The sequence below is a fragment of the Homo sapiens genome, chromosome 9 (assembly GCF_000001405.40).
Source record: "Homo sapiens chromosome 9, GRCh38.p14 Primary Assembly".
In the NCBI taxonomy this organism is placed as follows: Eukaryota; Metazoa; Chordata; class Mammalia; order Primates; family Hominidae; genus Homo; species Homo sapiens.
In genome coordinates this window covers 77,944,796-77,972,032 of record NC_000009.12, presented here as the reverse complement: position 1 = coordinate 77,972,032, position 27,237 = coordinate 77,944,796, and the positions used below count along the sequence as shown (strand labels likewise).

The following is a 27,237-nucleotide window of genomic DNA, read 5'->3' as shown; positions in this document are numbered from 1 at the left end:
TAAGCAACTTCACCAAAGTCTCAGGATACAAAATCAGTGTGCAAAAATCACAAGCATTCCTATACACCAATAACACACAAACAGAGAGTCAAGTCATGAGTGAACTCCCATTCACAATTGCTACTAAGAGAATAAATACCTAGGAATACAACATACAACTTACAAGGGATGTGAAGGACCTCTTCAAGGAGAACTACAAACCACTGCTCAGGAATAAGAGAGGACACAAACAAATGGAAAAACATTCCATGCCCTTGCCAGAACTTCCAATACTATATTGAATAGGAGTGGTGAGAGAGGGCATTCTTGTCTTATGCCGGTTTTCAAAGGTAATGCTTCCAGTTTTTGCCCATTCAGTATGATATTGGCGGTGTGTCTGTCATAAATAGCTCTTATTATTTTGAGATACGTTCCATTGATACCTAGTTTATTGAGAGTTTTTAGCATGAAATGCTGTTGAATTTTGTCGAAGGCCTTTTCTGCATCTATTGAGACGATCATGTGGTTTTTGTCGTTGGTTCTGTTCATGTGATGGATTACGTTTATTGATTTGCGTATGTTGAACCAGCCTTGCATCCCAGGGATGAAGCCATCTTAATTGTGGTAGATAAGCTTTTTGATGTGCTGCTGGATTTGGTTTGCCAGTATTTTATTGAGGATTTTTGCATCGATGTTCATCAGGGATATTGGCCTAAAATTCTCTTTTTTTGTTGTGTCTCTGCTAGGCTTTGGTGTCAGGATGATGCTGGCCTCATAAAATGAGTTCGGGTGGATTCCCTCTTTTTCTGTTGATTGAAATAGTTTCGGAAGGAATGGTATCAGCTCCTCTTTGTACCTCTGGTAGAATTCGGCTGTGAATCCGTCTGGTCCTAGACTTCTTTTTGGTTGGTATGCTATTAATTATTGCCTCAATTTCAGAACCTGTTATTGGTCTATTCAGGGATTCAACTTCTTCCTGGTTTAGTCTTGGGAGGGTGTGTGTATCCAGGAATTTATCCATTTCTTTTAGACTTTCTAGTTTATTTGTGTAGAGGGGTTTATGGTATTCTCTGATGGTGGTTTGTATTTCTGTGGGATCGGTGGTGATATCCCCTTTATCATTTTTTGTTGCATCGATTTGGTTCTTCTCTCTTTTCTTCTTTATTAGGGGTCTATTTTGTTGATCTTTTCAAAAAACCAGCTCCTGGATTCATTGATTTTTTTTGAAAGGTTTTTTATGTCTGTATCTCCTTCAGTTCTGCTCTGATCTTAATTATTTCTTGTCTTCTGCTAGCTTTTGAATTTGTTTTCTCTTGAGTCTATGGTTCTTTTAATTGTGATGTTACGGTGTTGATTTTAGATCTTTCCTGCTTTCTCTTGTGGGCATTTAGTGCTATAAATTTCCCTCTACACACTGCATTAAATGTGTCCCAGAGATTCTGGTACGCTGTGTCTTTGTTCTCATTGGTTTCAAAGAACATCTTTATTTCTCCCTTCAAATCTTAGTCTATGTTTTTAAAGTTAATGTTTTAAGGATGAATAGGCAGAATGGGAAGAGGACTGCCCCTGCCTTCAACCCCAGATTTTGATTATAGCCCACCATACTGCCTTTGAAAAGCCATAGGTGCCTCTCTTCCTGATGTGTGTGTGCAGTTGGGCCGTTGGTAACTTTTTGATAACACTGAATCAAGTTGGGAAGAAAACTTGTGTCCAGGGCAGATGTGATGCAGGTTTGCAATGTGGAACTGAGCAGGAGCACGGGGCAGAGTAGAGAGGAGGAGTTTGTGACTCAGTCAGTTTTTTTTGTTTGTTTGTTTGTTTTTTTTTTTTTGTGGAGATGGAGTCTTGCTCTGTTGCCTAGGCTGGAGTGGAGTGGCATAAATCTGGGCTCACTGCAACCTCCATCTCCCGGGTTCAAGCGATTCTTCTGTCTCAGCCTCCCAAGTAGCTGGGATTACAGGCGTGCACCACTGCACCTGGCTAATTTTTGTGTTTTTGGTAGAGACAGCGTTTCACCATGTTGACGAGGCTGGTATCAAACTCCTGACCTCAGGTGATCTGCCCGCCTCTGCCTCCCAGAGTGCTGGGATTACAGGCATAAGCCATCACTTTCGTAACAAGGTTCAGATCTTTGGCTCATGAAGTTGCTCATGAAGAATTTGGTGGTGAGTTAGAGAAATGGGTACTGGTCTCTGTGTCTACGGAATGCATGCCTGAAATTAAGACAACACTTTGCTCCTTTTGCCTTACATTTAGTAGGCATGCATTACATGCCTGATGGATATATGAATTTGATGCCTTCACATATTTAAAGAAAGAGCTGCCCCCAATTTCCTGGAAAATCCATAGTGTTGAACTGTTGATGTGGCTAGAAAGTAAGCTGGGTTGTTTTCCAGTGCTCTTCAAACTACTGAAGATTTTGCTGTGCGATATTTAAAACTGTTAGTGTATTAGTAAAATTCATAGTATGTACTTATATAAAACATACATTAGTATAATCTGTATTATATATAATGTAACCTCTCTTCCATCATCTACATTTTATGACTTTTTGTTTCTAAGTTGGCCTTAATTGTATTCTTCCATGTCAGGAAATGTTAAATTGGCTGTCGCATCAGGCTAATTGTATAGGGAGGCAAGATCTTGGGCAGTAAAGCTAATTCCTGAGTTTAAATTGGAAACTTTGATGATTGCATTAACTTTCAGTCCAGCAAAAATTCTTAAATTGATGCTTTAGGGCGCTGGATGGTAATTCGGGTGTGTTAGAAAATTACAGGGAATCACAGGAGTGTGAAATCATTAAGAAAACCACAGTTGTATTTACCACCTGCCAGGTGGAAAGGCCAGAGGGAGAATTGGGGTGTTGAATAAGACTGAATGGGCTGCTTGGCTGCATTATGAAGGAGTTACTGTATCTCCCTGGATTAGCAATAACAGACCTGGGGGTGCATGCAGACCAACGGCAAACCTCAAAGAGTAAATATGCTTTAATTTCTTCAGGGAGAAAGTGAAGTCCTACCATGATTGGTTGAAAATATTTTTATCTGGAGTAAGCTCTTGGCTCCGCCATCACACCTCACTAGGCAGAAGAGCACTGTCCATTAAGGTGCCCTCACCTGGGTGCATTTGCTGGTGGCATCACTTCCCCCAGACTCTCTGGGAGCAGAATCACCTTGCCACAGGAGGTGATTTCCCATAAAATCCCCATACTTAGGGGTTACTTAGCCAGTGAATTCTGGCTCTGGTATTCTCTCTGAGTTCCTCTTTAAGAGCCCCGGCATAATTGTGTCTCTGTTTTGGCAAACGGCACTGTCTTGCCTTTGGTTTGGTACACTTACGAAAATTAATTTGGAATGAAATGTAATTGAAGGCCATTTACATCTGATGGCCAGATCTATTAGAACAGAGCAGTGTTGTGGATTGGGAAATGGAAAGCATTTGAGATAGTGTCTGGGAAATACATTCAATACATAGAATGTCACTGCCTTGTCTAATAGCCTAATTTAAATTACTTTTTTGCTTTGCTATTGCATTAGGTTGTTCCAGATAAACTTTGTAGTTCAAGAGGAAGGAAACTGTATGGTAAATAAACACTTAGGCATCCTGATACATCTATTATCATTTGTATAAGAATTGGAAAACACTTAAAGGAAATCTTTAGTTTTTGATTCCTCTAATGAAAAAAGGAATATAATTCACCTTTTGAATTTATTGATTCATTTAGCCTGTAGGGATTTAATTTCATCTGAAGTGGTCCTGAAATATTTTATTCTAAGCAGACAACATCCATGGTATTTTTGTTTCTGCCTTTCTACCGTTTCAGTTCTTTATCTTTAAAAAAAAATTTGACATATAATTTACATAATATAAAATTCACCATTTTAAGTATACTCAGTGGTTTTTTTAAGTATACTTATCACTGAATTATAAAGTGATTATAATGTATACAATTCAGTGGATAGTATACTCGCAGAGTTGTGCAACCATTACCACCATCTAATTGCAGAATATTCCTATCATCCCAAAGGGAAACCTAAACATGTTTTTTTGTTGTTGTTTATTATTATTTTTTTTAGATGGAGTTTCATTCTTGTTGCCCAGGCTGGAGTGCAATGGTATGATCTCGGTTCACTGCAACCTCCGCCTCCCAAGTTCAAGCGATTCTCCTGCCTCAGCCTCCCAAGTAGCAGGGATTACAAGGCATGTGCCACCATGCCCGGCTCATTTTGTATTTTTAGTAGACATGAGGTTTCACCATGTTGACCAGGCTGGTTTCGAACTGCTGACCTCAGGTGATCCATCCGCCTCAGCCTCCCAAAGTGCTGGGATTACAGGAGAGAGCCACCGCGCCCAGCAGACCTGAACATTTTAACAGTCACTCCCCATTCTTCCTTCCCCCACCTCTGATAACCACTAATCTACCTAATATGCCTATAGATTTGCCTATTTTGGACTTTTCAAATAAATGGAATCATATGTGGCATTTTGTGGCTGGCTTCCTTGAGTCACCATGATATTTTTAAGGGTTATCCATGTTGTAGTATGTGTCAGTACTTGAATTCCTTTTGTTGGTCTTCGAGTGGCTAAGGAGGGGAAACTGAGCACAAGAAGAGGGCACTTTGAGCACAGAGAAAGCTGGACCCGAAATCTACCAACAAGAGCAGAACCTAAATATTGATGAAGAGGGGCTGATTCTAGGCACAGCAGGTGGTGGAAGCCTAATAGTTGTGCAGGTGATTTTATAATGTTAAAAGCACGGAGTGGCCACAGTTGGATCTGACCGAGGGAACTGAATCTTTTCCTCCATGTGAGAGCTGTTGTCAGCCCAACAGGGGTATACATGTACCTGGGACAGGGCAGCTTCCCATTCTGCAATAGTGGCATGATACCCTTTTCCTGAGATGCATTCAGGGTTAAAGAAGATAGTTCACCTACACGTTAGATTTCCCGTGAAGATAAAAAGTCCCAAGTTTTGAAAAGCAGAAGGAATTCTAAAAAGAACTGAAAAACAAAAGCCCATGGGGAGAGTGATGAAATGAGTTTCTGAGAAAGACTGTGAAGAGGGGTTCAAAGCGGCCGCTGACGGACTGCCCGAACCTAGGGCAATGAAAGACCTGGGGCAGGAATTGATGTTGACCGTGGCAGAGGCAGTGGACCTGGTGGGCAGCCCAGAGGAAAAGGCCTTTGGCTTGCTGAGAGAGCTCTTCCAGAACTGAGCAAGAGCATAGTTTGTTGAAGAATGGAGAGGTCCACAGTCCATCTCCTGTGCCAAGGATTAGTATTTCATTTCAAGAAGCGATTTGGTAGTCACAGAGTGAATATTATTATTTTTCCACAAATTCATTACCTCTTTCCCCTCATGAGTATCTTAGCATTGAATTTCCTGACTTTATGATGAATAAACTTTGTTTTAGTGTTTATTAATGCCCTATTTACTTTCCCCTGGGTGAAGTTTTGGCTAGTAATAAGATTTTGTGTCTCTGCTGTAGTGAGGCATTGCTGTAGAAAGCCAGGTCTAAGAAAAATGAATTTTGTTCCTTTGGGGAAGCATAATTACCTTAAAAAAGTTTAAAGTGTGGTTTTCAACTTAGTAAAATCCTATTATAAAGAAAAACGTACATAGCAAAAATTTTGCTTGTAGGTAATACGATCCTAGTAAAATAGAATTTACATTGTCTCTTATAGTTTGTTGTAATAACATTTTGTAATAACAGTTTTTTTGCGATGTAATTGATACTCAGTAAGCTGCACATATTTAATATGTAGAATTTGATGTTTTGTCACTTACATGTGTCTATGAAATCATCACCACCATGAAGATAACAAATATATTCATCAAACCTGAAGGTTGCCTGTGCCTCTTTTTTATCCTCCCTCCCACCTATCTCCCCCTCCAAACACTGATCTGATTCCTGTCACTGCAGACTTACTTGTATTTAGTTACGTTTTACACCTGAGGGAACATACAGTATGTCCACTTTTGCTTGCCTTTTTCCACTCAGTCATTTTTAGATTCATTTATGTTGTTGTGTGTCAATAGTTCGCTCCTTTTTGCTGAGACATATTTTGTTGTATGGATGTACTACATTTTCTTTATCCATTCATCTACTGATGGAGACTTGGATTGTTTCCAGTGTTTGGCTACGACAAATAAAGCTGCTGTGAACATTCATGCATAGGTTATTGATAGATACGTGCCTTTTTTTTTTTTTTTTGCTCGGAGTAAATCCAAGGACTGGAATGGCTGGAACACATTACCAGGGGTATGTTTTACTTTTTAAGAAACTGCCAAGCTGTTTTCCAAAGTGATTTTTAATATTGTGCAGTGTATGAGAGTTCCATATCCTTGCTAGCACTTGGTATAGTCAGTCTTTTAAAAAAATGTTGCCATTTTAAATGGGTGTGAAGTATCTAATTGTGGTTTTAATTTGCCTAATGACTAATGTTGTTGAGTAGTTTCTCATGTGCTTTGCCATCTGTATAACTTTTTCGATAAAGTGTGAAACCTTTTACTGATTTTTTTTCCTTTGGATTACTTGATTTCTTATTTTTTTTGTGTATTAATATTTTCTGGATACAAGTCTGTATGTATGCTTTGCAAGTATTTTCTCCTTGTCTGTGGTTTGTCTTTTTATTCTTTCAGTGTCTTTTGACAAGCAGTTTTTAATTTTGATGAAATTCAGTTTTGGTGTTAATTTGATGGATAGCTGAGTATGATGGGCTGGTGGTCGTAGTTAATTTTAATTGTATGGGAAGTTGAATGGTTTTTGAGGGTGAGGGGACAGGGTTGATTCGTGAGGATTCTGTGGGTGTGGGTGCTTTATATAATTATGGGTGTTGATTGGTGGTAGTTGCTGGTTGAACATTGTTGGTGTTTATGTTGTGATTGAAATTACTCAGGGTAACAGGTTAGATAATTCAGAGTAAAGTAAAAAAGGGTGGAATAAAAAAAGAGGAAATAAAATTTAATTAGGCCTTTTTGAGTAGTTACAGTAATGGAGGCTGTGATCTGGGTTTGTGAAATTGTTTTTGGTATAGACTTTTCTAGTCACATTAGGTCTAATAGAAGTGATACCAGGTTTTGGCTTGTGGATAGGCTTGAGTGAAGGGTTGTACAGTGAATTGTAATTGAGTAAAAGCCCAGTATATTAGAGAAGTTGAGTATTTGTAATGGGTATTTTATCTTAAGATTATTAGTTATAAAAATGAGTTCTGTATTTTTAAATACAGGTGTCTGGTACTACCTATTTACCTCTAAGTACAAGTCAGTGGTATTTCACACTTAATATGTTGTTTTCATTATTACTTAGTTTCTAATACTTTCTAATATCTATTTGATTTTTTTCTTATGTGTTACTTAGAAGTGGTTTTTCTTGTTGTTTTTGTTTTATTTTTAGTTTGCAGATATTTGGAGATTTTTCTAGGTATCTTTCTGTTACTGATCTCTAATTCCATTGTAGTCTGAGACCATATTTTATATGACTCTTCTAAAATTTATTGAGACTGGTTTTATAGCCCAGAATATAGTTTATCTTGATAAATGCTTCAGGTGCACTTGAAAATAATGTTTTTCGTTGTTGTTGGGAAAGCAGCCTATGTCAGTTTGGTTAAGTGGTTAACAGGGTTGTTAAAGTCCTCTATTATCTTTGATGTATTTCTCTCTACTTGGTTTATTGCTTTTCTCTCTACTTGATCTATTAAGTATTGAGAAAGGGGTATTAAAATCTCTGAGTATAATCGTAGACTTGTCCGTTTCTCTCTGCAGTTCCATCATTGTTTGCTTCTCATATTTTGAAGCTTTGTTATTGGATACATAAACATTTAGGATTGTTATGTCCTTTCGATAAGTTAACCGGTTTATCATTATGAAATGATTGTTTTTATTTCTGATAATATTATTTGCATTAAAATCTGTGTCTGTTATTAATATGAGATGACTTCAGAAATTTTGTGGAAAAATTGATTAAAAGATAAAAAGTATTAACTTCATTTCCCAACATAAGCCCCATCACGTTCGAGACACTTTTGTAAGCAATGATACTAGCCATGTAGTCCATTCCTAAAGAATTGAGGGTCCTGATGATTTAACCATGTCAAGGCAGTCTTTTTTACATTATTAACTGTAGAAAAATGGGTGCCTTTTAAATTTTTTTTTAAGATTAGAAAACAAAAATAAGTCAGAAGAAGCCAAATTAGGACCATAAGGTGGATGCCTAATAATTTTCTGTAAAAATTCTCACAGAATTGTCCTTTTTTTGATGAGAGGGAACGAGTAGGAACATTGTTGTGGTGAAGCTTTCCCAGGCATTTTTCTGTTAAAGTTTTGACTAACTTTCTCAAACCACTCTCATAATAAGCAGGTGTTGGTGTTCTTTGGCCCTTCAGAAAGTCAGTGAGCAAAATGCCTTCAGTGTCCCCAAAACCTTTTGTCATGACCTTTGCTCTTGACCCTTCTGCTGCATTTGCTTTGACTTCCACCTCTTCGTAGCCATTGCTTTGATTGTGCTTTTTTTTCAGGATCGTACTGGTAAGGCCATGTTTCATTTCTTGTTATAGTTCTTCAAAGAAATGCTTCAGGCTCTTGATCCTAGTTGTTTAAAATTTCCACGGAAAGCTCCACTCTTGACTGTAGCTGACCTGGGCACCCACTGAGTGAAAAGTTTGCTAAACTTTAATTTTTCAGTCAGAATTATGTAAGTTGAACCAATTGAGATTTCTGTGGTGTCGACTGTTTCTACTGTTAATTGTCAGTGCTTTTCAATTAGGGCAAGATTAATTTTTTCCTCACAAATTGATGTGGATGGTCTGCTGTTGTGGGCCTTATCTTCAGCATCATTTCATCCGTTCTTAAAATGAGCTATCCACTTATAAACTGCTGATTTCTTTGGGGCATTGTCCTCAAAGTGATTTCACCGTTCTTCCACGTGAGTTTCACTATAAATTTGGCATTTGTTCTTACTTCAATTTTAGCAGAATTCGTGTTGTTCTGATAGTGGCGTTTTTCAAACCAGTATCTTCTTATTCTTAGTGCCTCAAACTAGATCCTGTTCAGATATGTTATAACAAGTCTGTATTTTGGTACAAACATTTTTGAAATCCATGCATAGTTTTTTCATAATACACATTTTCCATGCACTGTTTTTTTTTTTTTTTTTTTTTTTGAGACTAAGTTTCACTATTGTTGCCCAGGCTGGAGTGCAATGGCGTGATCTTGGCTCACTGCAACCTCTGCCTCCCGGGTTCAAGCAATTCTCTTGCCTCAGCCTCCCGAGTAGCTGGGATTACAGGTGCCTGCCACCATACCCGGCTAACTTTTTGTATTTTTTATTAGACACGGGGTTTCACCATGTTGGCCAGGCTGGCTTCACACTCCTGACCTCAAGTGATCCGCCCGCCTCGGCCTCCCAAAGTTCTGGGATTACAGGTGTGAGTCTCTGTGCCTGGCCTTCCATGCACTTTTTGAAGACCTCTTGTATATATCCACCATAGTTTTCTTCTAATTAGTGTTAGCATGGTGTATCTTTTCCCCTTCTTTTATTTTTAAACCATTTTTATCTTCATATTGAAAGTGTTTTTTGTAAGCAGTAAATAGTTGTGTCTTTACATGTAAAGTGTCTTTCTCTCTCTGGCTGCTTTTAGGATTTTCTCTCTGTTACTGGTTTTCAGCAGGATGATTATGAACTGCCTCATGTAGTTTTCTTTATGTTTCTACTGCTTGATGTTTGTTGAGGGTCTTAGATCAATAGTGTTATAGTTTTCATTTAATTTGGAAGATTTTCAGATGCTGTTTCTTCAAATATTTTTCCTTTTATATTCCCACCTTTCTCTCTTCTTCTAGTACTCAAATTCCAAGTATATTAGATAACTCGATTTTGTTCCACACTGAGACTGCTCGTTTTTTTCTGTCTTTTTTTCCCTTTGTGCTTCATTTTTGATAATTTCTATTTTTGTGTCATCAGGTTCACATATGTTTTCTTTTCAGTCTCATCTGCTCTTATTTCTATCTGTTGTATTTTTCATTTTAGATACTGTATTTTTAATTGCCAGAAGTTCATTTGGGACTTTAAAAATACATTCCTTTCTCTTTTCTTCATGTTTATGTTTTCCTCTACATTCTTGAGGTGGTGGAACCTAACTAGTACTGCTTTTTAAAAAACATCCTTGTCTTCTGGGTCTAAATTTATTGAGCTTTCTTGGAGTTATGGGTCACCTTTTCCTGTTTCTTTATTTGCCTGATAGTTTTGGGTAAGATGCCAGACATTGTGAATCTTACATTGTTGATTGCTGGATATTTTGGATTCCTTTGAAAAGTGGTGGACTTTGTTCTGTCATGCAGCTGATTTACTTGGGATCACTTCAGTAATTTGTAGTCTTGCTTTTAGGCTTTGTTAGGGTAAGTTTAGAGCAGCCTCTCTTTCATAGTTACTTAAACTTCACTATTACGTTGATACCCTTATGAAAACTCACTGATTCCTTCTTTGTGGTGCAGTGAACCTGTGTGAACCTTGGGAATTGTTCAGACTATGTGTTCCCATGTTTCTTTCTCACCCCACTCACGTGTAGATCATTATTATTGAGCTTCAGGTTCAAGGGCACCCTTCTGCACATCTCAAGAGCTTTCTCTCTGTTCAGCTCTTTCCTTTCCAGCATTCTGTCATGCACATTCTAGGATTCTAAGCCTTTCTCGATTCTGATCTCTGTTTTTCAACCCAGTGAGAGCACTGGGTTCTTTTTGGGATCCTCCTTGCCATGTTGTTGTGTGGAAACTGAAGCCGTGTGGTTATGTGGAGGCAGTCCTAGGATTTACCTTATTTGTATCCCTGTGCTCCTTGTTGTCGTGTGTTAAAACAATTGTATATTTTATTTGACTTCCTGGGCTTTTCCCCCCATTTTATAAGTGAATGAGTATAAATTCAAAGTCTGGTAATATCCATTAGGTTCTAAAAGCATCTACTTTTGTTATTTTAATTTTAAATATAAAAGTGTTACCAGACATTACTTTTAAAGGAAAGAGTAAATGGCTAGAATTTGAACTGTTCTGTTTGTTGGAATCCAAACTATGTGTTTCAAATAATGAAATGTATTAAAGATATGTCATACAGGGAATGATCTCATATATCATTTATGAAATGGTTGCTTGTACAAAATGATTTCCAGGCCTCCTGTGCTCGTTAGTATTTCATTTTAAAGATAGCCATGAAAAATACAGGAAAGGATGTAAACTCTTAAGTTTCTTATTTTTCTGTTTATTCTAGTGTAGTGAATAGATCATTTTTTTTAGGTTAAAGTGATACTTTAGATTCTTTGTGGTTTTAATTTAGCTAGTTTTTCCCATCTTTTGTAAATGATATTTTGTATTGACTATATTTTCTTATTTTCTGTATTATTGATGATCCAGCATTTGGGGCTTTGCTAATCCTAAAGACTCCGCCCTCTCTGGGCTAGCTAATTCCTAGAGTTAACAAGTGACTCCCTGCGGCATGCCTTTCCTGTGCAAACCAATCAGTCCAGAGCACACAGCCACCAACCACCTCCTTTAGCTCTCAGAGATTGAGCCGGGATCTCTCTTCTGTAATATCACTCCAGGGCCAGGGGTAACAGGGCAACTAAGGGCAATCCCTACATACCACAGTCCACTGAAAATATTCAAATTAGCCAATTCTAATTCTGCCTACCTCGCTTTGCCTGTTTCTTTCTGAAAAAACTACAGTAAAGGACCTGACCCATGCCTTCTCCTCACTCCCTCTGCCTCCTGACCCATTCTGGTGTGATGACCAAACAATATCAGTCCTTTTGTCAATTTCTTACTTTCTGAGGTGGCTGGAAGAGAAGGAAATAAAGAGAGCAGAAAAAATGCAATACAAAAATAAAACACAATAAAAGAAAGATGAGCAGGATGATTCCAGTGAGCATAGAATTAAAGCAAGTAGAATTAAAGTTCCCTTACCCTTAATAACAAAACTAAAGCTATACCCATTCTCTTGGTTAAAGAGAATTATATGAATAAAAAAAAAAGAAATGGTGTTGAGTGAAGAGGCAAGGAATCCATTTATCATCCACTGTCATCCTTCTTTCAGAGGATAGAGGTGATATAGCAGGTCCAAATTAGCTTCCACAATTTAGGTTTTACAATCCAAGGGGCTGACGCATGGGTGGAACATGGAGGATTCCTAGAACCATGGTGCCACCTTTTTGGGGGGCCTGAATCTTGACATCCTTAGTTTCCAAAATTCTGCTGTAGAAAAACTGATTGGCATATAGATTTGTAGCAGTCGTTTGGAAAGGAGACTCTTCTGATTTTTTTTATACTTTGAGTATTGGTAAAATATTAAATATTGTGCAAGGTAGGAAGAGAAAAACTCAATGATTTTTAGCAATTATAGAGATAAAAATAATTGAAGGAATAAAACAGTGAGTGAACAAAATATACTGTGCTATAATGTTTTGATAAAAATATTCAAAACGGACTTGTTATTTCCCAAAAAACATACTTTCATGCAGATTGAAATTTGCAAATGATAGTTTAGAAAATTTATCTACAGAATTATTTCTATAAAATCCTGACTTGCAATGGCAGTCTGTTTTTATTTAAAGATTTATTTGTATTTTATGGATATTTAGAATATCACACATTTACTAATAAATTTCACATTATCTGTAAGTATGAAGGATGAACTAAAACATATAAAAATAAAAGTTATATATGAAAACAGATGATTGCAAACTAATGATTCTTTGGATTAAAATACACCAGAAGAAAAGAAAATATTTTATCATAGACTGAAAGTTGGGATATGTAAATGAAGCAAGAGACTTTGGAATGACAGGACAATGTGAGTAGAACAGAAAAACTTTACAAGGTAAATTAATTATTTTAGGGAGAAATGGGTTCTCTTTAATGCGTGAAGAATCACCTGGAAGCTTACTAAATATTGAACTCTGGGGCCCTCTCCTTGCGTGATTCTAATGGAGATGTTTATATACCACACCTTTCAAATGGACCACACCTTTGAAGAACAGTGATATTGAGGCTTATATGCACAATAAAATGCTCATTTCTTTCTTTATCTCCTTTTCAATGAATTGTCTTAGTACTAAGTATTATACTAATAACAGTTTGGGGTACCTCTGAGTTGGGAAAAGGGGAAAATCATGAAAGAATTGAGGAGTTTGCCAAGGGTTGCAAACTGCTAGTTTTGGGGTTGAAATCAGTCTGCAAATGTATTTTGTTTTGCATAGCTGGTGGTACTCCCCAACCCCCATTGCATTTGATTGGCCACAGTCGGTACTGCTCCCTGTTACCCTGTACTGCACCCATGGCTTCATGGATTTGCTTCACCTGCCTGTTTGTTAATGGCATTAAATTGTGGCTGACCATAGAGGACCTCAGTGACAGATATCTTGGCAAAGAAATGATGGCCCAGTTAAAATAATATATCACTAACCTTAGCAAATAATTTAACCTAAACTGGTTTCTTGAAAAATATTTGTCAGTTTTATGTATAACAATTCTTACATTCTGTCAATTTTCTAACTTTCAAAGGAAGTCCTAAATTTTCCCATTAGTGAATAGGACAGAGTAATTCACAATATTGCAGAATATGAAAGTCATTTATTGTTATTTTAGCAGCACATTTCATGGCTGGCAGCTGTAGATGTACTTTTCTACTTCCTTTTTTTTTTCTTTTCTGGTCAGTTGTTAAAACTAATCTTTATTCTGTTCGTGTTGCCAATAGGATACAATGGAGACACAGCCCATAACTGATCATGGAAAAAGTACATCTATATGTAGAGTTTTAAGTTCCAGTCCTTGAAGGGATTTTGAGAAATAATGAAAAATAGAAAGCAAAGCCAGCATTAACTGATAATTTACGCCATTCCAGACACCAAACTGAACACAGTATTTGTGTTTTAACCCTCCCAACAGATTTATCAGTTAATAGCTACTCTACTATTCCTGTAGATGAGGAAACTAATGCTCAGAAATGTTAAGTAATTTGTCCACATTGCCTTTATAAAGGCAAAATTTGTATTTTAAGAAACCTTTGTAAAGGTGACCATAGATGAATAATATAGTATTTGATCTTGTAAGAAAAATGCCTGCCGTTTAAAATGTGTCTCTTCTTTAAGTTGCCACACTATGTAAGTTGCCAGGAGATAGACATACCACATAAGCCACGTGGCCAGCAGAAATGATTAGTAGCGACAAGCACGTGCCTAAACATATCCTGCCCTCTCCCTTTCTGACTAGACTTGCCTCTGCACTTCCACAGTTCCCTCCCTCCAGCAGGTGCAGAATGGCCTGTTTCTCCTTCATCCTATGATGCTAGTGGCCTTCATCCTGTGATGTTAAATAAGATGGACTCGCTTTTGCCTGTAGCCTCCTCCTTCAGCTTGCAGATATATCTGACCTTTCTTTCACTCAAATTACTCATGAAATCCCATTGCCTCTGTGAATCTGACCTAGTTGGAAAAAACAAGCAAATTCCCCTTGCTTTTCTCCTGCTGTTGGAGCATTCACTTCTCATCAGTTGCTTTCCATGCAAAGGTGATTCTGCGCCTTCCTGTGTGTAGTGCAAAGTTACGTAATGAATGCCTCCAGGGATAGGGGCAAGCAAGAGCTGTAACTGATGTGGATATTATTATTAAGGGTTTTTTTGTTTGTTTTGTTTTTGTTTTTGTTTTTTTGTTTTTTTTTGAGACTGAGTCTTGCACTGTCGCCTGGGCTGGAGTGCAATGGCGGAATCTCAGCTCACTGCAACTTCCACCTCCCGTGTTCGTGCAATTCTCCTGTCTCAGCCTCCTGAGTAGCTGGGATTACAGGCACACACCACCACACCTGGCTAATTTTTTTATTTTTAGTAGAGAAGGGGTTTCACTATGTTGGCCAGACTGGTCTCGAATTTCTGACCTCGTGACCGCCTGCCTCGGCCTCCCCAAGTGCTAGGATGACAGGCGTGAGCCACCACACCCAGCCTATTATTAAGTTTTTACATTGCCAGCATTTATTTCTATCATTCTGTTCCGGGCTGTACTCTTAAACGAGGCTACTTTATTAGTTATCCTAAGTACTGCTTCAGAATATTCTTACATGGTCCCTTTGCTTGTCCATCAGGATCACCTAGACACATTACTATTTCAAACCCCAAATAAATGATGCTTCCTTGAATTTGGCTTTTTGTATCATTGAGGTGTTATAGAACTCTCTCACCTGCTGTCTTTAAGTAAAGAGACAGTGTGTCCCTGGAGCCCCGCAGTGCACAGGAAGGGCTCTCATTCAATGTTGAGTACATATTGCATATGCAGAGGAAATGGTCCCCTCCACCTCCATGCCCCTACAGTTAGTTTACTCAAGTTCTCTTCCTTTAGCTGAGTTGGGAGCAGTTATTTTCCCTCCTCCCCCTTCCTGGGGCTCTGTACTCACCATTGAAGAGAGGCTATATATTAGAATTTGGAATGCTGAGAAGAGACTCGATGACTGAGGCAGTGCTAATCCAAGAGGGTTGCAGTGCCCCAGGATTCATGTTCCTTCCCATAGGATATATGGCTTTGAAAGTGAGGGATCCTATACTAAAAGGGTAATATTAGTCTTCTGGATTTGGAAGCCATTTTCCTAGCTCTTCCTGCATTCCAAGGACATGAAAAAGGAAGCTGGGCATTTGTAGTGAATAACAGGATCACAACAGGGTCATAACAAGATAGCTAGGAATCTTAAATTTGTACAAGTAATCAAGAATTGTTTTTCTAGTAGTTCCCTTCAAATTCCCTCTCTTTAGGGCCTATACATTTCGGCTTCAATTTTGGGGTCTAATTAGTGTAAGATGAAATGATACTGGATTTCTATGTAAAATAGTAGTATTACCTAACTTTATAAGGTTCTAGGGAGGGTTACACTAATGAACATATATAAAACACTTTAGAATAAGTCCTGGTAAATAGAAAGTGCTCAGTACACATATTATTGCTATTACTATTTCATAACAAAAAAGACAATATTTCTTTTAAAAAACTTAATAAATCAAAAATGTTTCACATGTAGGGTTTTATTTATAATATATGTGCCCTATTCATAGACCCACTAAGATAGCCAAGAAATTGCCGTGGCAGGAATTGCCATCGGAAGAGAAACATCACCTCTTGGTCTTGAAATAAGTGATTCCTGTCATCAGTGTGTCAGACAGCTTTATGTGATAATGATTTTGGACAAACCTAATGCAGAAAGTCTGCTGAATATTTAGTCAGAGTTATACTAGAGAGCACTTGAAGTCCTGTAAATCTAAAGGTTTAGAGTTAATGTTCCTGTAAAGCTAAAGGTTTATAATAGCTATCAAAAGAGTTTAGATTAATTCATAAAATTAATCTACTAAGTGATTTCAAGTAGGCAAATTAAATACCTATTTTGATCTTTTCATATTTATACTAGTCAAATTTTAATGAATTGAGCTTTTTGAGAATTACTGAGCAAAATTCTTGGTTTACCAAATTTTGCATTAATAGATTTGTTTCGCATAGGAGTAGACACAAAGTATAGCGTTATGTACAAAAAGTGCTTAAATGCAGTTATATAACTTTCCTATTTTCTTTCATGATTTCACTAAGGAGTAAACATTCTTGGCTCGGCGCAGTGGCTCACGCCTGTAATCCCAGCACTTTGGGAGGCCGAGGCAGGTGGATCACAAGGTCAGGAGTTCAAAACCAGCCTGGCCAAGATGGTGAAATCCCGTCTCTCTTAAAAATACAAAAATTAGCTGGGCGCAGTGGCAGGCACCTGTAATCCCAGCTACTCAGGAGGCTGAGGCGGAAGAATTGCTTGAACCTGGGCGGCAGAGGTTGCAGTGAGCCAAGATCGTGCCACCGCACTCCAGCCTGGGCAACAGAGTGAGACTCCATCTCAAAAAAACAAGAAAAAGATTCTTGAAAGCCTCCCCACTCCCACTTATCTTGGAGCAACTGCTGTGGAGTTCGAACATTCTTAGCTTTGCCAGTGTAAACTGTGTCATACGTGTATCTTAAACTACTTCAGGCTTATGATCTGGCCAGTTACTATTCGGTGGTTATGCAGGAGAGGCCTGGTTTAACAGAAATCATGCGGTGGTCAAGAACAAATTTAATGAAAATTGAACATGTTACCCAGAGTGCTAATATGGAATTTTCTCTGGTGACTACTATTGCCTTCCTCAGAAGGTTTTTGTTATTGTGTTGGTGGTTAACACAGGAATGACTGGTGACGTTTTGTCAGCTTAATAGCGCCGTTGCAAGATTCAGGAGACCCTTTTGCCAGGCCATTAGCCAGCTCTGTGGGTGTAGTCTGATCTCTTAATAGCCCTGTGCCTTAGCTTATGTCTTTAATAAATGAGGAATTCAGGTAGAGGATCTTGAAGACCTTTTGCAGCTCTGGAATCTCAATTTTGTGTCATTAAACTCTAACATTCTTTGAAATATAGCATGCTTTGTTGAGTGCTGATCTGAATTAATTAGGATTTGATGTTAAACTGGCCAGGAAATTATGAGGCATGGAGGAGGTGACACAGTGGGTGTGCCCAACAGCGTGACTCTTTGTATCGTTCTCCTGTTTTATCAAGCATCAAGATGCTTCTGAAACACAAATCTAAAAATTGTAGTGCTCTCAGTTCTTCTCTTCCTTAAGCCGTACTATGGTGGTGCTGTGCCTAGGTTGACATCGTATTAGCACACCTTCTTTTGCTTTGACACTTACTATGTGAAAGGAAGATGACTTCTCCTTAACAGGAATTCTCTAACACCATTTGGCACATGGTTGAGCTGAACAAATTAGGAAGGAAAAATAGTCCAAAATATTCCAGACCGCATAGTCATCTAGTTACAGTGCCTCTTGCAGTGAAACTCAGCTGAATGCTGTGTACGTGATGGCATTACTTACTTCCCAGTATCAAATGTGTGCAAAGGGTGAAATTGGACTTTTCAGGATCACATGATAAACAGATGATAAGGAAATGAAACAGTTTTCATGTTAGAGTTTCAAAGACATCTTAAACCTTTTTCTGGAAGAAAATATGTTTTTATGCCACTTGGTAAAGTGGGATACAAAATATTTGTGACTTGATTTTTTAATTTGATAGGAATAGATAATTAAATATTTGGTCAATGAAGGAAGATAACAGTGTTGGGGATGATAAATTTTAGGGGCCAAATTGTCTGTGCTGGCAGCAGGCAGAAGGCTGGGTCAGTCACCTGTGCAGAGTTCTTTGTAACTGTTACTTGGTTCTCATTGCCAGCAGCTGTATTTGATTTACTTCCTTAGTTTTGATAGCCACAACATTTATGATCTGTTCAAACACTGGCAGATTAAATACCATAAGAGGATTACTTAACACAGCAGTCACAGATGAAGTATCTGTTCATATTTTGTTTTTGTGTTAAGAAAGAAGGCCTGCCACTAGGTTTGGGTGTGCAGGGATTCACTGCCTGGTAGTGCCTTTTGGGAGACCTTCGCCGGGCCCTTGAAGCCATTTCTAATTCCGGCTCATCCCCTTCATATGTGTATACTGCAAGGCTTGCCTTCATTAGATTTTGTTCTGGGAAAGGTCCAAGGGGAAAACACACCTCTCCTCCATGTAATTTTGTAATCCAGTTTACACCAACTTTTGGATACTGTCTTAAAGACACTGAATGATTTTCAAAGCATACAAATCATTTTCTTTGTATCATAAACATGAAAATAACATAAACACCCAGAGATGATTTTGTTGAGAGACATGAACTAATTAGGGGTTCTTGCACTTAAATGCACTTTCAGATCATCTCAAGAACTTGTGTAAATAGACCTGGTCCTACATTTCCTGGGATGGGCTATGCTGAGGGCACCTTTCAGATAGGCTGGGTGTAACTCCCAGACCAGCAGCAGCAGCTTAGGAGCACTTGGCCTTACCTAACCTCTTGGGACCTCTGTTTCTCCACGTCCAAATTGTTAGCAACGATTTCCAGCTAGTAGGCTTCACAGAGCTGCTGTACTTGGAACTGAACACAACATGATACTTTATTGGAGTGTATTATTTTATCAATAATGTAGCTTGAAAACAAGTTTTCTGTGTTTATTCAAACCTCTGTGTAGTGAATTAACAACAACAATTGCTGATGTTTATAGGATTCTCAAAAACATACTTAATATTTCCCTGCTTTCTTTTTTGGAAGTGTTTTTCATGTTTTCCCAGTTTCATTCTTGTCTTGGTATGAGTCACTAGCATGAAACCTGATATTTTGTTTTATTATTTATTAATGGGCTTCTTAGACATTTACCAATGAATAATTAAGCAATACAAGGAGTGAAACAGATGTTGGGTTTAGTAGTCAACTGACACTTTCTGATTTAGCATGGTAAACTGAATTTGGAAGATGCTAGATAAATGCCTAATGGCTATTTTGCATTGAAATTTAATAAATAAGGAGTAACTTGATGAAAGCTAAAACTTAACTTTTTTCTGCAATTCTTAATTTTTCTTCATTTCTTAACTGTTCTAAGGCAATCATTTGAAAACAAAATGTAATAAACTTAAGAATAAAGTTTGGAATAACAGCACAGTTGGATACTGCTAACATACTTATTTACTTTTTTATTATTTGTGTCATCAATATTTTTGTTATAGAATGACTAAAAGTTGGAAGATAGAAGTGACAACTTCTTATAAAACAAGTATTCTTTGTACTGTTTTAATATTATGGATTCAACATACGCAAGGAAAAATTTTGAAGGTAAAATTAAAAAGATTTCTTCTCTGTTTTGTAGAACTGTTGGGTCATATTCCACTCCAGTGTAACTTTAGAACAACAACAACAGCAACAATGTTATTTTAAATATAAAAACTGAGTATATTTCCTGCTTCAAATCAACCCACCTTTGGGCATATTTTCTCACTTTGTTAAGTGGGTTAGAGAAATAGAAAATACAGATACTACCCAAACCTCAATTTCAGGCTTCCCAGGAAATGTTTTTTAAGAACAGGGAATTGAATATGAGTTTTGTCTTTTTGCCCACTCATGATTATCCTGCTGGTCATCAGAATGCCTTTCGGCTGAAGCTAGACGGAATGAGGGTAAGGAGCAGACATTCCCTGTAATTGAAGGCCTGAGATTCATGGGAATGGATGCTGTGTTCCATGTCCTAGGTCTGTGGACCTGCTTTGCGTCACATGCACTGATCCTAGGGACAGAGTGAATATTGAACAAGCTTATTTAGGAAAATTTGAAATGTGAGCTTTGAGATCATTCACATCTCTTGGATCTGATAACTCATCGAGATGACCCCCTTCACCACCTTCCCACAAATGGAACAGAGAGAATCGTAAGGTTGGGTGGTAGAAAGGCCTTGGAGCTCATCTATGCAGCCTCTCCTCCTTAAAGTAACCCCTTCTGTGGTGTTCAGGTTGAGGGACCTATTCCAACCATGGACTGAGAACAAATCAGACTTTACAAAAAGAGGTTGACCATTTATATGATTACATTTTTAGGTACACAGCTAAGTAAATAAACTATAAAGTTGACTAATTTGTCTTGTAAAAACAAACCAAATAAGTAAATAAACTATAAAGCTTGACTGATTTTCACAAATACCTGTGGCATTTGTGAAAGATGAGTCCAAACATATCTTTAGCAATAACTGATTTATTAAAATAAGTGAATGGGCTGGATGAAGTGGCTCACACCTGTAATCCCAGCACTTTGGGAGGCCAAGGCGGGCAGATCACTTGAGGCCAGGAGTTCAAGACCAGCCTGGCCAACATGGAGAAACCCCGTCTCTACTAAAAATAGAAAAATTAGCCGGGCATGGTGGCGTGAGCCTGTAATTCCAGCTACTAGGGAGGCTGAGGCAGGAGAATCGCTTGAACCCAGGAGGTGGAGGTTGCAGTGAGCTGAGATTATGCCACTGCACTCCAGCCTAGGTGACAGAGTGAGATTCTGCCTCAAAAAAAAAAAAAAAAAAAAAAAGAACACTTGACTGCGTTCAGTATTCATATTTTATAAATGTGCCCTAAACAAAGTATACTGGGGTGAAGATACAGGATATACATCTTGGCCTCATAGTGTTTTTAATCTTATCTAAAGAATGTAGCTTTTTTTAAATTAAAAAGTTATTTTATAACCTTTTTAAATATAGATGTTTTCAATGACAATATAGTATTTTTAGCAGCTCCGCAGTATTATGTTTTATAGATGTCTCTTATTTATTACATCAGGGCCCTATTGATTGATTGATTTATGTGTTTCTGCTTTCTACCTATTATTTTCTACCCTGTTTTATTCCCCCAGCCATGAGAACATTGTAGTGATTATCCTTGTACCTGTGTTTTTAATACTAACTGGTTTCTTTCATAAAAAGTGTTTAGTGAAAAACAAATGCTGTGCGTGCTCATTAAAATTTCAGATGGCACAGAAATAAATGAAATGAGAAGTGAAGCTTCCTTCTCCTTCCCCATTTCCTCCCTAGAGATAACTACCTGTAAACATTTGCTTGTTTATCAGTACAGATGTTTTTGTTTTTCATACATGAGAAAGCAGATATTGGAACTTTAGTAGATGGGCAATAGGTTGCAGAAACGAGCATGGGAAGGTAGCTGTATTCTGAATGGGGAAGGCTTGTGGGAGCAAACGGCTGCTGGTGTGTGTGTTCAAGGATGGGACAAAAATGTGTTGTAACCTGTTTTCCTGCATCAGGTAGTGACAGCCATGTAGCGTGGAGGCACAGAAGCAAATCAGGGAAGAATCAGCACTAAGAAGTGAGCAAGCTTAATAACATACTGCAGCTAGAAAATGAGTTACTTCCCCCAAATGGGAGATTCCCTTTGTAAGGAATTGAGAATTTCATGATGAGTTTAGAGCTGACCAGCACATGAATATGAGCTTAATGGAATCATTTCTAATTGCCTCCAGAGAAGCAAAGTTTCAGGAAGGGAACCCGGTAAGAACATTATAGTATGTAGTTTAACCCAGATATGATAAGTTTTTTGATAAGAGAAGAGTCAGGGTAAATAGGAAGGTTCATCTGTGAGAAATAAAGTACAGGAAGAGGGAATGGAGCTGGAGGAGGGGGGATTATGTGAGGGTTGTTTTACACCAGATGGAGCAAGACTTGGCTGCATGGATCGGGAATCTTTTTTGAGGATAGCTTCTTCCAAGGATTCAAGACAAAAACCAGATTGCAGGAAATTCAAGGGGGAATTGGAGAATAGGATTCTGAACCAAGGTGGAGCTTTCATTGAGTTAGAATATGAATAAAGATACGGGAAATATGGAAAAGTTTCCTGCCCACAAGGAGAATGTGCATGTGAATCTCTAATATTTCCCTTTAAAAATAAAATGAAGCTCCCAGCTCTGGTAGACCTGGTGTTAGCCCCACATCTTTTCCTGCAGACAGAGCAATAGGTCTTTCCCTTCCTCTAGCTCACCTATGCCAATTTTCCAGAGCTGTCAGGTCTAGGGCTGAGATACTGGTTGTGGCTCTGCCCCAGCTGCTGCTGTTCCCTCATTAACTCCAACCAAGGGCTTTGGGACTTGTGTGGCCGGCACTACTGCTCACTCATGTTGGGGTCCATGCTAACCAAGTTCATATTTGCTGGGAGCCCTCTCTCAGCCCCAGGAGTATTCCAAAGCCCCTGTTTCTCCCAAGAGATTCAGAATTTGAATTCTGCTTTGGTTCCCATTGTGGAATACTGCTGTGACAATCTGTCTCACTCCCCAGTGGCCTCTGAGCCTTGTGTTGCCACCACATTCATTTCTGCCCCTAAGGACTGAAGTTCCATCCTTGAACTTGCCTCTGCACCAGGGCTGAGCTATCTTTGCTTCTAGCCTCATGGTGTGTGGCTGTTGCTCTACAGCCTGGTGGTGTCCTGGGTTCACATACCAGTTTTGCCGCTTAGTATTTCTTTGGGTTCAGGCCAGGTATTTAACCTCTCAGTGTCAGTGTCCTCATTTTGTATTTTAATAATATGAATTTTCTGTCTGTTATCCTAAGAAGGTGGCTGCTTCAGTAAATGCAAGGGAATTGATTGAACACAGGCCTCGAGGCATGTGTGAGATCCTCTTGGGGAGACCCTGGGGCACCTGAAAGGAGTTACAGTCTTGTGGGAGAAGTGGGCTGTCTGTATCAAGACATTGTGGGCAGAGGAACCGACACCAAGTTCCAATGTGACTCCCAAATGGAAAGTATCTAGGGGCAGATGCTTCACACGGAGCTGTTGGTTCTTGGTCAGGTGTTTGTCTGTTCATGTCCTTAGGGTCCAGGTTCAGTGGCTGTAGGAATATTCATTTAAAAAGGATAATAAATCTCCTAAACAATGCTAGGGAGGCTTCCCAGGCTGCAGAATCAGGAAAATAAAATTTACCTCACAGGGTTATTTATAGGATGAATGGCATGATTTGGGCCTAACGAATAATGGATGTTCAGTCAACAGTAGCGGTCGTTCTTTCTGCTGTGCTCTGCCCACTTCTTAGGACGCTGTGTTAATTCTTGCATGCACAGGCCTAGGCTGCCCTCCTGGCTGGACCCCACAGTCATCTGCCCCCCCTCTGTGTCCTCCTTCATCCGTGTCCTCTTCCATCCCTACCGCTAGGTCCCCCGCTTTCTGAGTAGTCCCGTGTCAGGCCTCAGTCTCCCTTTCTTTGCTGGAAAAGGGTAAAAGGCCATCTCTGGCTGATGAGTGCTAGCAGTTTGTGTCCTGTGTTGGGATAGTGAGCCTGCAGTCCAGTGAGGTTCCTGCGAGGAGCAAGATTTGGATGCAATTCTTCATCAGTTTAAAATGACTATAGTTTTAAATATTACCTATCTTTTACTACATTTAGGCCCTCTGAGGATTTAATATAGGCACTATTTTGTTAATTGTTTATACTATCTTATAAACATGTTAATTCACAAATAACATTATTTTATTCAAAAACATTTATGCCGTTTTGAATTGTTCCTTTGTATGATAGGTATAGGAGATATTCAGAAATAAATATTAATAACAATAGTTAACACCTGTCTAACACTTTCTTGTGCCACGTATTCTTCTAGCTACCTTCACACATGTTCATTCATTTAATCCTCAAGAACCACCCTATGAAGTAGGTGCTCCTATTTTCTTCTTTTTATGGATGGTGGAAAAAGAGGCCCAGAGATTTTAAGTAAGTTGCTCTAGGTCCCACAGCTGTTAAGTAGCTGGGCTGTGAACAGAGGCCTTATGGCTCTGACACCTGTGCTCTGAGACCAGGCTGCTTCCATGGCGCTGAAGTCTTGGCATCATCTGGCCCCTGGTTAGACATGCAGAATCTCATGCTCCACCCCAGAACTGCAGAATCAGAATGTGTGTTTTAATAATGTTCCCAGGACATTCGAATGCACAGTCAAGCTTCAGAAGCACTGTTCTAAACCATTCTGCCTACTTACTGTCTCTCCAGCCATGGGAATTTCATTGTTGTGGGGGAAATAAAGGGGCATGTATGGGTAATAGCTGCCCTTGTAACATTTTGGTGAAACAGATTGAACACCAGTTGAGTGCTTTAGACATTTCAGATTCCTTCCCAGATAGCCTCGTGTCACACACTTCTGTTTCTTGTACCCACACATGCATACACAACCAGTCACACATGGCTTTTGTGAAGTTTAGTAAATTTAGAGATAACATGGGATGGCACTGGCATAGGGCAGAGTCATGCTTGTGGTGTTTTGAAAACTTGTCCTCTCTTCGTTTTAAGTTGGGGCCCTCCCCACAGCCTGTGCCCCTGGGAAGTACAGTCCAGCCCAGGGCTCACTGCTTGCCTCCTTGTGGAAATAGCCTGGATAGACTGGTCCTCACCCTTCCCCCTCATTCCAGTAAATAAATGTCTTTCTTGTTACATAAGTAATTATAATCCAAATGTAATCACATAATAGACATAGAAGGAGCAGCCAGCTGGCCTCTGGGGAGTTGGCCAACTTAAAGGACAAGAATGGGGGAGGTTTTGCCCAGCAGAGAAGGATATTTGGGGAAAGGGAAGTAAAAAGCCTGAAGGTCTGAAAGAACATAGCTTGTTACTCGGGAGAAGTTGGGCGTAGCCCGGAGAGGGCAAATGAGGCTTTATTGTGAATGGCTTTATTTGCCATAATATTAAGTTACAGAATTTATTTTGTGGCAGTCAGGCTCTACCTGTATTGCTAAGGGCTCTACCTGTATTTTTTGCAAACAAACCCTGTGAGCTAGGCATCATTATCCTCATTTTGCAGATGAAGAAAGTGACAGGTCCCTCAACTTGCTCAAAGCTACCTAGCTAGTGGTAGTACCTGAATCTGATACCCTGGGCTTTAACCCATGTGTTACTGTTGATCCGTATAGCAACTGCTTTAAGGCATCAGAAATACACTGTTATTGTGTAAAATAAAGACTGCAGTTAACAACAATACAGAGAAGGTTTCATTTTATTTTATTTTATTTTTGTCTTATTCTGCATTGCCTATTTGAAGAGACTGGTTTTTCCAGCAGTCAGTGGTGGAGCACGACTGCTGGGTCATACGCCCAGGTTTTGCACGTTGGTTTGTGGGGTGCAGGCACTGACTGACTAGTGCTAAGACGTAATGTGCTTTTGATGGAGTTTCCTTTGCCTGGGTGTTTTTGGGGTTTTTGGAAATGTGGAATCTTAAGAGGAAGAAAACATAGTATTTATAGAGCTGGAAAATGTTCTGCTTATTCTCAATCCTTTATTGACATAGTGGTTACTCTGCTGTTTTGGTTGGCAGTGTGATTCTCTTAGTTTAAGCAAAAATTTCTTTTGTCAACAGGTAGATTACTAATAAGGATATTTTACTCACCAAGAAATTCCTAGGAACCCTTTTTCTGGACACATCAGACTTCACAAAATGTTTCTGTTTTTCTTTAGTTCCTGTTGCTTCTCTCTTCTTGCAGTATCCACTAGCAGCATGGTGGTTGTTCTGTAGATAGTGATGTTACCACTTCACCATTTGGTCCTCTCTCCTCTGCGTCAGTTAACTTCCCATCTAATATTTTGTTCTGTGAACTATTCCAGGAATGATTATCAAGCTCTCGTCCTCCACTTAAAGTAGCAAGGCATGCTAGCATTTTCTGTTTAGGACTGAAGAAATGCCTGCAATTCAGGAAGTGTGGCAACCTTATAAGTAGTGGGAAAGTTAGAGGATGTAAACTTGGGTGATTCGCATAACTTCAGTAGACCTCAGTTTCCTCATTTATAAACGAGGAGGCAGTCTAGAGCCTTTAGATGCGGCCTCTAAGGGTCCCTTGGATGAGGTGTAAAGTTCATGTTCTTAGGGAACTTCACCACTAGTACTTGGCTGCCTTTAATAGGTCTTAATGCTCCTATAAATTTAACTATATTATCCCTTTTGCCCATTTATGATTTATTAATAGCTTTAATGAATTGTGAATGACAGTTTAATTAGATCATCCATGTATAATTAGGGCAACCGGGTTTTTTTCCCTAAGAGGATATATTTTTCATCCGTGAGTATGTAGCTTACCTCTAACCTAGGTAATTAAGCATTTTAAGGCATTTTCCAAAATAAGAAGGCTTTTTCTGTTTTCCTAATAAACACTTTATTGAAAAGCCACATGCATAAAATAATGGAGGGCCGTTTTGACCTAGGTTTTGCATGTAATCATAACCCAGACAGACACAACCTGAGGCAGTACATTTAGTTTAGTGGTAACAAAGCAGTGTGGAATTTAAGAAATCTCTCTCTCTCTTTTTTTTTAAACTACTTATTTTCTTACTTTTTGAGTAAAGCAACTTTATAGCTACTTCATATCTGTTTCAAGTGCTACATTTTCAAAGCTGGCAAATAGATTTACCTCTTTTGTGAAGGTGCCACATTAAACACTTAAAAGAAGAAAATCAGCCTTATCTGATGGATGATCCCCAGTTAATAGCCCAAGAACCAATTTGTATTTGGCTTTGCGATGTGTTTTTCTACTTACATTTGAGTATGGGTGTGCCTGATATTCTCGGAATTTACAATACTTCAAACAAATAAGGAAGTTGCACTGTGAAGACAGACTCAGAAGGAACTGGAAAGCTGACAGACCTTTGTGCTTCCCCAGCCGCCTTGCTGAATTCTCTGCGGTGGGTTGAGACCCCTGGTGTTCTTGGATGGGACAGCCCACATGAGCAGAGTGGCTCTCCCTTGTTTCCTTTGCTCTCTTTGGATTTATATCCTTCCAGAACTAGCTGTTTCGTAAAGTATTTAGACTCTGAATACCTGAATTATTCAGATCTTCTTGTCACTCCAATCACAAACAG

The 27,237-nt window shown here is 38.8% G+C and overlaps 1 protein-coding gene across 3 annotated transcripts in view, besides 1 other annotated feature; it reads left to right on the top strand.

Annotated features, from left to right (window-relative positions):
* GNAQ (G protein subunit alpha q) overlaps positions 1–27,237 on the top strand; it is a 315,715-nt gene that overhangs the window by 59,779 nt on the left and 228,699 nt on the right. Inside the window, exon 1 of one of the 3 annotated variants that reach the window (XM_047423240.1) lies at positions 1–27,237. This exon is cut by the window's left edge and continues 12,016 nt beyond it. The exons of the other annotated variants lie outside the window; for them this stretch is intronic. The gene's annotated coding sequence lies outside the window, so the exon portion shown is untranslated. 3 annotated transcript variants of the gene reach the window in all.
* Positions 15,029–15,567: an enhancer, noted in NCBI's record as "OCT4-NANOG hESC enhancer chr9:80571382-80571920 (GRCh37/hg19 assembly coordinates)". NCBI's record gives its function as "activates a minimal SCP1, AML or CMV promoter by ChIP-STARR-seq in primed H9 embryonic stem cells {active_cell/tissue: H9 hESC(primed)}" and the evidence as "EXISTENCE:reporter gene assay evidence [ECO:0000049][PMID:30033119]".